Source organism: Homo sapiens, chromosome 4 (assembly GCF_000001405.40).
Source record: "Homo sapiens chromosome 4, GRCh38.p14 Primary Assembly".
Classification (NCBI taxonomy): domain Eukaryota; kingdom Metazoa; phylum Chordata; class Mammalia; order Primates; family Hominidae; genus Homo; species Homo sapiens.
Window position 1 is genome coordinate 118813860 of NC_000004.12, and position 14175 is coordinate 118828034.

Consider the following 14175-nt stretch of genomic DNA (forward strand, 5'->3'; position numbering starts at 1 on the left):
CCACACTCTAGCCAAGCCTCCAGCTGACCCCAGATGCATGAGCAAGCTCAGCCAAAATCAGATGAACCTGGCCCAGATTAGAAAAACCGGGAACCCACTGGGTCATGAGTATTAATAAACAGTAGTGCTAAGCTACTGTTTTGTAGCAGTTGGTTACACAGCATAAGTTAGCTAATATGGTAGCTTTTCCTGCTCCTTTATTTCTAATTCTTCAAGTACTTATGTTTATCGAACCTATTCAAAGACACAAAATAAACTGTAGCCAATTTCGTTATTATTCCAAAAGGATTTTACATCCCAATGCCATAAGATTGGCAGCTTCCCTGTCTCAGTGACATTGGGCTTTGTTTTATGACTTGCTTCAGCCAAGGGCACATGAGTGGTTATGACACATGCCACACATGAGTGGAAGCTTTAAGAGCTGTTGCACATTTTGGCCAGCTCTGTTTCCTCCCTATGCCACAAAATAGCATGTCCTCAGTAGTGTTTGCCTCTTCACGCTGGATTTTGGAATGATAAGGACGGATGAAGCAGAGCCTAAATCCAATCTGCAGCTGCCACAGCCTACATGTAAACTGAGTGATAAATACATCTTTGCAGTTGTAAGCAAAGTTGGGGATTGTTTGCTATGCAGAATGGCCTTGCAAAGCTTGACTGATAAAATTATTAAAGAGTAACCCTCCAAAGAAATCACTTGAGTGAAGAGTTTAGTTCTAACTTTACATTAAAAAAAATTTGTTTTTTTATTGTGCAAGATGTAAAATATACTTTCAGTCTCTATGGGTTTCTCTTATTGAAAAGGATCCTTTAGTTATCTAAAATAGCATATTTCTATAGGATATAGTCTGTTAATTACTCATTAGATAGCGATACTGCCAAAATATGTCAATGTAAACATTGTAGACACTGCCAAGTTTATATGACACCAAAAAAAAAGAAAAAAAAAATCAGCACAGGCTGCTCTTTCATGGAGACCTTTAGTATGCCCATAACCCTAGCATGCTTTCCCCCATACATGCATATAAGGAAGGAAGCCTTCCCTCTATGTGATGAGTATCTCCTAACTTCTATGCTAATGAACAGGATAAATGCTAACAAACTGATGAGTTGCTGAGAAAAATTAATGCTCCTTTGTGAGTGAGACTGTGAGAGTGAGAAGAGTACTTACTGGGCTAGGGATAGAGTCAGGATCCAGCTTCTTCTGGGGCTGTGGCGGACCAGCCATCTGTGCAGGACCTCCAGGGAAGCCTCCTGGGTAAGACAGTTGTGCGCCTGCCATCTGGGGACCAGAGTTGGCTGCTTGGAAAAAATTTAAAGAGAAATGACTATCATCCCAAATCCAGCATGTAAGACTTGTTGACGATATTATGCTGTTCAGTCAAGCATGTTGTATTTTTCATCTTATTAAAAAAAGCAAGGAGTCAAGTATGAGTGTGGTTCCCCATTTCTTTGCTCTTGCCAAAACTCTTCAAAAACTACCATTTCTTAAAAGTAAGTGACAGATACCTAGTAACATAGGAACAAAGCTGATTTTCAGTTAAGGGTTCCCCTGGGTAACACAAAGCCTTCCCCTGCACCCTGTCCGCCTTACCCTGCTGCGGAGGATATCCAGCACCCAAGGTCTGGCCTGGAAGAGGTGGGGGCTGGTACTGGGCATTTGGAGGAGGAGGCCCAGAGAGCCCATCTGGTCTGTACATTGGTAGAGGCAAAGGTGAGGCACCAGGACCATTGAGTGTGGTGGGTGGTGGTGGAAGAACTTGAGATCCAGGCTGCAAAATGGAAGGCTGTGGAGGTCGTGGAGGAGTCTGCAATGATGTGGCTGACAGAGGGCCAGGGGGTCCCTGGCTTGGAGGAGCCATGCCTGAACCTGTGTGAGAAAGGAGACCAGCCCACTTAAATACCACATTTCTCAACTCTCTGACTTCTGCAAAGTACATGACAGAGATGTTTGTTTTCCTGACATAAAGCAAGAGGACACCCTTAGAAACACATGTTTGGGTTTTTTGCCACAAATTGAAATCTTCATTCAGAAAATAGAACAAACGCTATTTTATACAACTGGGATTTTTTCTTTTTTTTAAGGACAGGGTCTTGCTCTGTCACTGAGGCTGCAATACAATGGCAAGATAATGGACCACTGTAGCCTCAACATCCTGGGCTCCAGTGATCCTCCCACCTCAGCCTCCCAAGTAACTGAGACTACAGGCACACACCACCACGCCAAGTTCATTTTTTTTTTTTTTTTTTTTTGTAGAGTTGGGGTCTCGTGATATTGCTCAGGCTGGTCTCAAACTCCTGGGCTCAAGCAATACTTCCTCCTTGGCATCCCAAAGTGCTGGGATTATAGGTGTGAGCCACCATGCCTGGCCTGGAAAATTTTTAAAAGGTAAAAGCAACATTTATAATTTAAGTAAGGGAATTCATAGAATAAATTTTAACTCAGTTGTGTAATTACATGATATATGCATTAATTAAAGCATCTGTATCTGGTACAAATCTAGAAAATCATATAAAAATTCTATTACATAACAAGCATTACTCAGGTAAATTGCACATTCAATAAATTATTTGCATCCTGTGCGTGACTTGACCAAACAAATTTCAGAATTAGGTAGAAATAACCAGAGACAAGAGAAGGGCCACCAACATGCTCTCCAATCATATTGGAAATAGCTGTAAAACCAGATTATGTTTTCCTTTCTCTGATTATGGGAAACTGGGTTGCTTCTTTGGAGACTTATCCATTTTGAAATGAGTAAAAGACAGAAAATAGAGGGGTTTTAATGATACTTCAGAAAACTAATTTTAAGTAACATGGAAACATTCTTCATCTAGATAAATGGCCGACTGTGCTGTCATTACAGTGGAGCTTTCCATGACTCACAGGATATACAGCATTTCTGTTGATGTAAATCTCAGTACTGTGACTCTTTCCTCTCCTATCTTCTCTTTTCTGCCTCACAACATCTGAGCTTCCACTCTTTCCATGATCTAAACACATAATTAAAATGCACTGTGAAACAATGAGTACTATATTTCTGATTTGGGGGCCCCATCATAAACAATACAAGGTTTAAATTATCCTTATTTATTTCTTAAAATAATTTCACTATTCTAATGTTTATTTGTGAAATCAGCATTTTTTGTCTTTTCTTATTGTTCAATCATTGAATGGAAGGTATTCTGAGGGTCCTTCAATTACCTTGAAATAAGTGGCAGCATGATCAAGAAAACAATTAACTATAGCCATACATAAGATAGATGCTTTATTATTAAAAATGTCCAAATACTACTTCAACACAGTATGCCCTAGTTACATCTATTTTAAAAATGAAGAAAACCTCTCTCATTAAAAATGACCAGGACACAAGGCAGTCAATAAACACTAATAATAAAACTATTACCATAGCTGTTGATTTGCATAGCACTGAGCTGGCTGCCCAGCTGGGTGACAGATGAAGTGGATATAGGACCTGGATAAGAAGATTGTGCAGAGGGTTGGTATGGTGCATGTGAGGATGCCACATTGTTGACAGGTGGAGGGCCTGGAAATCTGAGAGAGGAAAACAGGATGTCAAACAATATCACAGCGTCTCAAGCAAATGGCGTACAATAATGTTAATAGCTTGTAAAATTAAATTAAGCCTGTCTAGTAGGCCTAGGAAAATGACTGATATTATATACTAAATCTTTAATTAAGCTTGACATGAACTCAATATGATCATGTAGCATCATCTTATATTTATGCTCACATGCTGAACATGCCAAGACAGAAAAAAAAAATCCTAATGTGAGCATAAAACCAGTTCTGGAAATCAATTTGGGAAACTGAGCCAACCAGAGCCTTATCTATACTAAAGTTAATCATCAACAGAATGAAAATCAAGAAAACAATACAGCCAGGAGCAGCGGCTCATGCCTATTATCCTAGCACTTTGGGAGGCTGAGGTGGGAGGACAATTTGAGCCCAGGAATTCAAGACCAGCCTGGGCAACATAGTGAGACCCCCTTCTCTACAAAAAATAAAACAAAATAAAATAAAAAATTAGCCAGGAGTGGTGGCGCTACTTGGGCGGTTGAAGTAAGATGATCACTTGAGTCCAGGAGGTCAAGACTACAGTGAGCTGAGACTGCACCACTGCACTCTAGCCTGGGCAACAGAGCCAGACCCTGTCCCAAAGAGAAAAAAAAAAAATCTAAAAATTACATCATGCTTTACCTTTGATTTAGCTTGAACTTATTAGACGTTTATTTTTTCTTGTTCTGCATTAAACAATGGCCGCTATCTGGACAATGTGCCTAGCATGGTTAATCTGCCAAATGCGATTAAAGCCTGCCTGAGAGTCACATTATAAATTCTTATGAATTTTAAATTTTAAATTAAGTTTTCCCAAATGGTATACTCTGATTTCAATTTCTCTATCTGAAAACTGGAAACTATTTCCCCATGGCCCATGTCTTGCCTTCTGCCCCCTACTGCCATTGAGAGGTTAGGAGCAGAGCCTGAGGGAAGCCAGTGCTTGCCTGAAGTCCCACAATTTATTTGTGACAACACTAGGACCAGCGTTTTTCCAGGTCTTCAGTGAGTGCACTATTCAAAGCATCACACTAATTTTATCTTGTCATTTTTCTCCATATGTTTAAATTGAATAATTATTATAAACAAAACAGAAAATTAACCTTCCAACCATTACTCTGAGTGCATGACATTAAGCATATTTGCAGAATAGTATCTCACACTTTGAGATAAATAGGTGAGTGATGAAAATGCTCTTTTCCACTCATACCTCTGAACAGCTTATTTCTGCAGTCTATGTTTTATCGGTAGCCGGAATTGACTTTATAATTTAGGACTCTTCTGTAATGATACAGAAAGGCTGCCTAATAAAATACATGTTGCAAGAAAAAAAAAAAAGAAAATGGTCTTTCCATTCTTTCCATTGTACGCACAAGTACAAGCTATCCTATAGCAGAAAATTGGCTAGAAATAATGGAATGAATAACATTGTAACCCAAAAATACTGTTAAACAAAACTATCCAATTTCTCTCCTGTCAAACTTTTCAAAAAGCCCAACACAGTTAGGCTAAGCACCCTTTGACTTAAATACTTTTTGGAAGAAAATGAATAAAAGATAGAAAATACAAACATTAACTTTTCACAGTAAAAGTTTTCTTTATATCTCTAATCAATTAATGACACTGGTGAAACACAAGCACAAAAAATATAATTCTAGTCCTGCATGACACATTTAAAATATGTTGTGATCACTAAAAAATGATTTCAAGAATTACATTAAAGGTCTGTTTTGTAAATCCATTGTTTCCTAAGACGAAAACATTTCTTCTTTTTAAGAAATAATACTTTTTCGTCTTTTAAAAAAACTTTGTCTGCGGGGCGTGGTGGCTCATGCTTGTAATTCCAGCACTTTGGGAGGCCGAGGAGGGCGGATCACGAGGTCAGGAGATCGAGACCATCCTGGCTAACACGGTGAAACCCCGTCTCTATTAAAAATACAAAAAATTAGCCGGGCGTGGTGGTGGGCGCCTGTAGTCCCAGCTACTTGGGAGCCTGAGGCAGGAGAATGGCGTGAACCTGGGAGGCGGAGCTTGCAGTGAGCCAAGATCGCGCCACTGCACTCCAGCCTGGGCAACACAGGGAGACCCCGTCTCAAAAAAAAAAAAAAAAAAAAAAAAGTTTGTCATAGGGAATAAATGAAGTAATTACACACAGGCAGAATATACATGTACTATAGAATATATTCATGGATGCAATGAGGTATGGTTACAGATGTTGGATTTGATAAGCAGAAACTGGGGATGTTGCATTTATATGGAGAAAAAACCTCCCCAAAACATTTTCAAAGGTGTTTCATAAATGCTAGTACTTTTAAATATACAGTTCTGTGAATCATTTTTTGTTTTTACAATACAGGTAGGACAAAATATATTTCAAACAGGAGTTATAACACAAGCAGCTTCAAGTATTTTTTTTAACTTAACAAAGGTTAAGGATTTAAAATAGAGAATGAGAGACTATATAACCATCAGTTATTACTTTCAACTCATAAATGCCTACTTATGATTCAGTGCCTAACATATACCCCAGGAGTTAGGTTTCAGAAATTCACAAATAAATTATTTCTTTCTGACCAACTTAAATATGGTAAGTCTTAAATAGATTTGGTTTTTAAAAGCAATTATTATCAATTTTAAAATAAATAGAATAGTATTAAATGGCTAACAAACCCCTCATATAAATGCCTCACATAAATGAGGGAAGAGATGAAAGAACATCTTAAACATACAAATTAGTTTAATTTTTTTTTTTTTTTTTTTTGAGACGGAGTTTCGCTCTTGTCGCCCAGGCTGGAGTAAAATGGCAAGATCTCGGCTCACTGCAACCTCCACCTCCCAGGTTCAAGTGATTCTCCTACCTCAGCCTTCCGAGTAGCTGGGATTACAGGTACGCAGCACCACACCCAGCTAATTTTTGTATTTTTAGTAGAGACAGGGTTTCACCATGTTGACCAAGATGGTCTCAATCTCGTGACCTCGTGATCCGCCCGCCTTGGCCTTCCAAAGTGCTGGGATTACAGGCATGAGCCACCGCACCCAGCCAATATTTTTTAATTTCATTACTTTATTGAAAGTCACATAGCATGTTGTACAAAGCTGAGGTGGGAATCCAGGTCCTCCTGCCCTAGTGTAGAAACCTGGTGTGTAACTATAGGTAAGCCACTTAATCTCTGTAGCTCTCAGCTTTCAAATTCTGAAAAAGAGCATGTGAAATGGAGTGATCCCTTTTTTTTTTTCGCTATAAATATAATGTTAAAATTAAGAACCATATAGAGTTAAATAAATGTTTCTCATGTTGACTGCCTTTATTCAACATGGCTCTGGACTGAAAAACATTCAATTATATATTTTAATTTATGGTTTCATTGAATGTCAAGTATATATTTTAATTTACATTTCACTGAATGTCAGAGAAGGGCAGATTCACCATAGGAAAGAATTCAATAAAGAATTACTACCAGATGATTAATAAAACATGAAAATTTAGCCTCAATTTAATCCTAATCCTCTGCAGAGTTGACTCAGTTTTCTGTGGCCTGTTCAACTTCAAACACTCCCCATATTCAAGTTTGCAATAAATTGCTCAAGAAATGAGATGTATGCTGAAGTTTGTATGCGGAATTAAGATGCCAAGTTTTTCAAGATTTGATTGAAACAAAATCAGAATTTTGAATACCTAGCCCATAGAGAAAAAATGAAAGTTCCACCAAATCCTAGCATCGTTCTCCACACTAAATAAAATTGAAGAAAAAACAACTACTTCTCTTATTTTTATTGCTCCTTCCTTCAACTTTTGTTGAAATCAATTTCTTAGTAGATTCACACATATCAGCTTCAATTTGGGAAGATGGGTCCACTGTTCCCTCAAATTCACTGTTTCTTCATCAGAATACATCACTTAAACTTGATTGATTGAATTTTTATTTTATAATTAAAAACACTGATTTTTAGGTTGCAGATTTTATTTAATATCCTACCCAGTAGTAACTCTATGTAGATAACTTTAGCACTGCTTGCAAGTTTAAGACATTTATTCTTCCTCAGTCAAATCAAAAAGACAAATAACTAGGTATGATTTTTAAATTTTATAAAACATTATATTTAAAAAGCAGTATTTTAAAGATAAAAATTTTACATGTTAAATTCAAATCAACATAGTAACTTATTTATATCTTGTTTTTATTTGATAATTTAGATACAGTAAAATTAAAATATTTCTTTGGTATACTAAGTACAAATGACACAGATAAAATGCTAGAATCCACAAAGAAGAGTCATATGCCATCTATGCTCTTTGACAGCCTCTGTCATCAGACTGATGTGATTCACCTGCACAATCACGGTGCACTTTACCCTTGCATTGCGCTACATTCACAGAAGCATGTCCCATGAGGGCAAGGCAGCATGGTAACCAGGAAGGCTCAGCCTGAAATACTATACTTTTCCCTGACTTTTTCACTTTTTAACCCCAATTCTAACCTTCAATCCAGTATGCAAGTTGTAGCAAGTGAACAGTAGAAGAGAGGGAGTAAAATCTGTCAGTACTTCCCTAGGAATCACCACAAAAGCAGATTCTTTAAGCTATCAAGAGATTCCTGAGCTGTCATGAGTAACTAGATTGAGCTCGAAGGACAGACAAGCTATAAACAGTGGACTTTTCAGATCCAATGGAAATGATATTGACAAATGCTAAGGTGTTGAGTCCATGGGCCCTAGTGCACTGTGTAAGGTACTCTGCATGTATTAATCATTAAAATCCTCACAACCACATATTATTGTTAAAATCGTCATGAGGAAACCGAGGCACACAGAGGTTAGGTAACTTATCTAGCTAGTAATTGTCTGGGCCAAGATTAGCAAACATGTCCTGACTCTAGAGTCCTCTGCTCTTCACTGGGCCAGACCCTGTGCTGGGCTCACAATCACAAAGTTAGGGCCTGCTTGATGGTAAAGTCCATGGTTTACTCACTCCTAAGCAACCTGATCAAGTGAAATAAATGGCAATAAACCAAAAAGATCAATCAATTCCAAGCTAATACCAGTGACCAAAACATTCTTCTAAACTTGAAACCAGCTGTTCAATCTTTGCACTTCTTTCTTTTTAAAAAAAATATCTGAGATGCCTGGAAGTTTACAACAATTTTTTTTGCCTTGAGACAGGGTCTCCCTCTGTCACCCAGCCTGGAATATAATAGCATGAACACAGCTCACTGCAGCCTTGACCTCCTGGGCTCAAGCAATCCTCCCACCTCAGCCTCCAAAGTAGCTGGGACCACAGGTGCATGCCACCATGCTTGGCTAATTTTCTATTTTTTTTTGTAGAGATGGGGTCTCATCATGTTGCCCAGGCTGTCTCGAACTCCTGGGCTCAGGCGATCCTCTCGTGTCAGCCTCCCAAAGTGTTGGGATTACAGATGTGAGCCACCACACCTGGCAACCATGAATTTTTCTAGGTCTTCTCCCCTTTACTTCTGGACTGAGAATTCTATATTCTCATTTTACAAGTGAGTCTGTGAGCCACCACACCCGGCAACAATGAATTTTTCCAGATCTTCTCCCCTTTACTTCTGGACTGAGAATTCTATATTCTCATTTTACAAGTGAAAATGAGGACAGGCATGGTCAAGGAACTTCACCAGTGTCCACAGTTAGTAAACTGCTTGAACCAGAAGAGGCATTTTGGTTCTCCGTCTTTTTGCTCTTCCTCTCTTGCCTTTCTATCACTCTTTTGAGACTCAGGGCAGTAGTTTCAGGTCCCAAGTAAGACCCTTTGACTTCTTGCTCCAAGCTTAAACCACAATCACGCTTAATGACCTACCCTCTGCATCCCATAGCTACCATTTCAACCGGCAAATGTCATGTTATCATGACAAACAAGAGCCAGCCAGTGCCAAGCTCACAAATGCCCTGTAGGAGAATTAACCTGATGACTTTAAAAAATCCCAGAGGGAGTTTTCCTATTATGGAGGACTATAGGCTTCATGAAAGGCCATGACTAAAAGGCTTCACCATTAGGAGGATCTACAGTCACATCTAGGGGGTACTGCCCATGCCTCCCCACCCCCAAACCTTGCTACCTGGGAAGGAACCTGAGAAATGAAGCCTCTGGGTAATCCTTGGAGAAACTCCAAAGCAAACACTGCCTGCGGCTTGGCACTGGCTTGGCACAGGTTCTCAGCAGCTACACCTCACCGGATAAACAATAATGGGATTTCTAACAGGGAAGGTGTGATACTGGCTTCTTTCCCAGGGATTAGTCCCTAGTGGGCTGCAGGCTCTAAATATTTCATACATCTTGGCTTCTCCAGGCCTGCTTCCAACTTTTCCCTTCCTCAATTTATTATAAACACAAACACAAGATTTATTTCCTGTGTTGTTTTTACTACAGCTCTGCCTTTTGATAATCCCTCACTGGCATCTGTGTGCCTTCCACATCAAGCTCACAGACCCATTGGCGACAATCCGATTTAATTTTAAAATACTTATTAAGCACCCATTGGCACTGAGCTCAGTTCTGTGAAGGATCCAAGAAAATAGAATGATTTAAAGTTTTATTCAAGAATAAAGGCCATGGGCATCTAAAGGAATTAAAATTGATATAAAATTCTAAAATAAACTGAATATAACTCAAAACTAACATGTATGGTATTGACACAAGTAATTTTTGATACATTTTTAAATACCTACTAATACTGTCTTTTTCTTCATAACTTTTCTTGTTTTTTTTTGAGACAGGGTCTCACTGTGTTGCCCAGGCTGGAGTGCAATGGCACAATCATAGCTCACTGCAGCCTTGACTTCCCGGGCTTACAGGATCCTCCCATCTCAGCCTCTCCAGTAGCTAGGACTACAAACATGCACCACCAGGCCGGCTAATTTTTTCTATTTTTGTAGACATGAGGTCTCACTATGTTGCCTAGCCTGGTCTCAAACTCCTGGGCTCAAGCCATCTGCCCAACTCGACCTCTCAAAGTGCTGGGATTAAAGCCGTGAACCATCATGCCCAGCCATAACTTTTCTTATTGCTTTGTTTCCTAGGGCAGTTATCTAACAGATCCTTTCAGGGGTGTGTAACATCATCAAAACGTCAAACTTTCAACCAATAAACATACAAGCTTAGAAGGTATTTCTGAAATAATTTTAGGAGAATATACAAACGAAGGTTGGAATCTACCTAGCTCACCTTTGGGGAGGGTGACCAGTGGCATGAGCTCCATTCTGACCAAACTGATGGGGTCCAGGAGGTGGGGGACCCGGAGGCAACATTCCCCTAGTGGCGGTGGCCCCCAAAGGCCCTGCTGGCTTCATCATACCTGCAAGAGAGGGGCATGAATTTAGAAGTGTATTAAAGTACAAAGAGAGATGAGGCAAAGTCATTAGGTTAAAAATGAGAACTAGGTGGAGGAGGAGGGAAACAAATGGATTAGAACAAAATCTCTTTCAAGCTTAACCATCACCTACAGACCTGTCAATACCAGGCTCTGGCATGAGTATTTGACTATCATAATGATGAAAGAGCAGAAAAGAAGGGAATCATTTTATCACTAAACAGAAACTAAAACAGAAAAAAATAAATTTGCATATGACAGAGGCACCTTGATAAAGTATATTACCACGCAAAGAATACTAAAACACGCAATGAAAAATGGCAGTTAGATATCAGAAAATAAACCTGGAAAAAGCAGGAAGGGTCATGGTAAAGCATTCTAACTGTAACTAAACGGGGCATGGGGGAGAACACTAGAAATGCCTTTGACTTACAGCACAACAAAAGCAGATGGGGAGTAGGGTCTATCTTTCTAAAAATCCTGAGCACTTCCTTCAGAGCTTAAAAATCTTTCCAGAATCCTAACTGGCTGGATGATGAACAGCTGGGGGACTGCTCACTCACAGAGTCAGATTCACCATGCTTGCTCAGACAAAATATGGGACCACATGCAGTTAACGGATGCTTCTGGGAATGTCTGTGTTTTCATTTATTAGCAGCTCTTCTCAAATAGAGACCTTTAAAGACTTCTCTTTGGAACTGTCTTCAGACATTTCTCTCTTTTCTTCTTGAGAAATTGCAGTAAAGGAGAGAAATCACTGGGCTTGGGTTAGAGTAGTTCAAGGCCCCACTGGTTACTTATTAGTTGTATGAACCTGGGCAAGAAGCTTATCTTTAAGGACCTCAGTTTTCTTCCTGTAAAATGAAAGGCTTAGACTAGATTACCTGAGACCTCTTCTAGCTTCTAGAAAGAAAAAAAGAGAAAAGAAAAAAAGAGAAAAACTTCAGTTCTTCTATCTGCTGTCTCCACTTGCTTGTTTTCCCTCATTTGATTTACTTTTGACCATACCCTGCTCTCTGGCAAGGTCATCAATGACCACCTAGCTGCCTGCTGTGCACTCCTCCTTTTGACTTCGTCATAGTATTTCATATTAACATTTCCTTTATTCTGTTATATTCCTCCAGAAAGTTTATTCTCTCAGATAGAAAGGAATTGACTGATGATGTATAGTCACCCAGGAAGAGTTTCTTATATTGTCATCATAATTGCTTTCGAGAGAATGCTTTCAGATGTTTGCATAATCTAAAATGACAGGTATCTAGTGAAGTGCCGGTCTTCATGAATAATATTGAAACTTTTACAAGGTTTCCTCTCTTAAAATAGGATTCCTTAAACTGAGGACATTTTTATATTAATTCTACATAGTTTTACTTAGCAAATTCATATACCACTATTTTCAATAAATATTATCCTTATAGCACTACACTTTAATACAAAGTTCTAAACCCCAAACCCAGCAAAGTTAGAAAAACATGAGACTTGCAGTCACAGACAAGTTTGAATTTGTGACTCCGATAAGATACTCTATTTTTCAGAGCTTCAACTTGTAATCCCATGTCATGGCAATAATATTCCCTAGCTCCAAGGATTGTTCTGAGAATTAAATGAACCAATGGATATGACGGTTTTTAAAACAGCTGTTTCATCTTCCCTGGCCATAGCCCCTGCTCTCCTTTCTTAAGCATTTTTATTCTAACAAAGCATATGCAACATAATTACAAGCACATTTATATTTTCATTTTAAAAACATTATTTTGGACAAAAGTAGGCAATTCACAACAGTAGCATTAAAATATTTTCAACTTAAATAATTACATGCACTACGAGAAGTCGAAAATATTCTTTTTTTTTTGGTCTTTTTTTTTCTTTTTTTAAATTTGCCTCACAGCTCTCCAAAAATATTCCCCCTTTAAAAAAATAAGTAGGATAGCAGCAATTTTCATGAAAACCCCTATAGACATGTCTAGAGAATTAAAAAAAAAAGCTCTGATATATGCAAGCAGAACTTTATACATCAATATTACTGTGCTCTCCCTTTTGTTTGGGAATCAACTCTATGGCAGTGATTCAAATCATTCTGTGGCATTCTCAAATCATTCTCATTATTATTCAACATACATTTAAGGTGCCTTTGAGCCATTTGAGAGAAGAGACAACCATGTAAACAAATCATTACAATGTCTTGGGATGACTGTTACAATATGCAGAGAGACTACCTAACTCTTCCTGGGGGAATTGAGAAGAGTTCAAAGAAGGAGGACTGCTTGAGCTGAATCTTGAAGGACAAGCAGGAGTTTTCTTCATATAGAAGACAGGATAAGGGATTCCAGTTAGAAAGCAAAGCTTGAGCAAAGACATGAGAGAGGATGGCACGACCAGGACAGGGGAAAGGCTTGGTGTGGAGAGGCTGGGAGGGAAAGTAGCCAGAGTGGAAGCTGTCCAGGTTGGCTGGGGTCAGACTGCAAAGTCCTATGTGTCACTTGCACTTCACCCCCAGGGCAAAGGGAAGTCAGTATCACTGATATCTGCAAAGTCATAGTCTTCCCCCAGCCATGTTATTGGCATTTTCAAAAGTACTCAAACACAAACAGAATCAGGTCCTTTATAGAGCAATATGAGAATTTTAATAGGAAAGGAACACCGTGCAATGAGAATGAACTGTTCTTAAGACACCCCCCACCAAAAAAAATCTAAGATCACAAGTTGGTCTCTCACACAGCGGCAGATACCATGGACCAGTAAACACAACAATTCCAATCCCTTTCTGACTTTTCTATTAATATTAATATAAGGTCTTGAGGTGGAAAAGTGAAAATTCCTAGACTGCCTTACAATTTGTTTTGCCATATGCTCTAAATTCAGCAAAGCAGCACACCTCTGGGAGACTCTGGCCAGCCTGGTGGCAGAGATGATTCTCCTGGGAGAGAATGGTGGTGACTTCTGGTGGAATGGTCCTGCATGGGAATGTTCATTTTCATGGACCACATACTCCCAAGTCTGGTTCTCTGCCTTTTTCTGATGTTTTGTTTGCTTCCTGATACCCTTTAACAAATCCCTTTCCACTAAAGGGGACTGTTATCAGCAAAGTAACACTGACCAAACCACATCACAGAATAGCATGCCTTGAATTTGGTCCTGGACCTGACAAACTAAAACCAAAATTAAAAGCCATTTGTTGGGGGGGGAAAATGTTTATCTAAAATAAACAAAGATAAGCTCCCTATTATATGGGTAGAATTGTAATGACCATGGTCCCTAAAGCACCATGCT

The 14175-nt window shown here is 39.0% G+C and overlaps 1 protein-coding gene across 2 annotated transcripts in view; it reads right to left on the reverse strand.

Annotated features, from left to right (window-relative positions):
• Window positions 1–14175, reverse strand: part of SEC24D (SEC24 homolog D, COPII component) — a 113304-nt gene that overhangs the window by 91037 nt on the left and 8092 nt on the right. The window contains exons 3-6 of one of the 2 annotated variants that reach the window (NM_014822.4): window positions 10761–10890; window positions 3405–3553; window positions 1592–1867; window positions 1169–1296 (exon numbers count right to left, since the gene is read on the reverse strand). In NM_014822.4, the coding sequence (NP_055637.2) occupies window positions 1169–1296; window positions 1592–1867; window positions 3405–3553; window positions 10761–10890 (683 nt within the window). Of the gene's footprint in view, window positions 1–1168; window positions 1300–1591; window positions 1868–3404; window positions 3554–10760; window positions 10891–14175 lie in introns of both variants that reach the window. The other variant, NM_001318066.2, reaches the window with a different exon arrangement.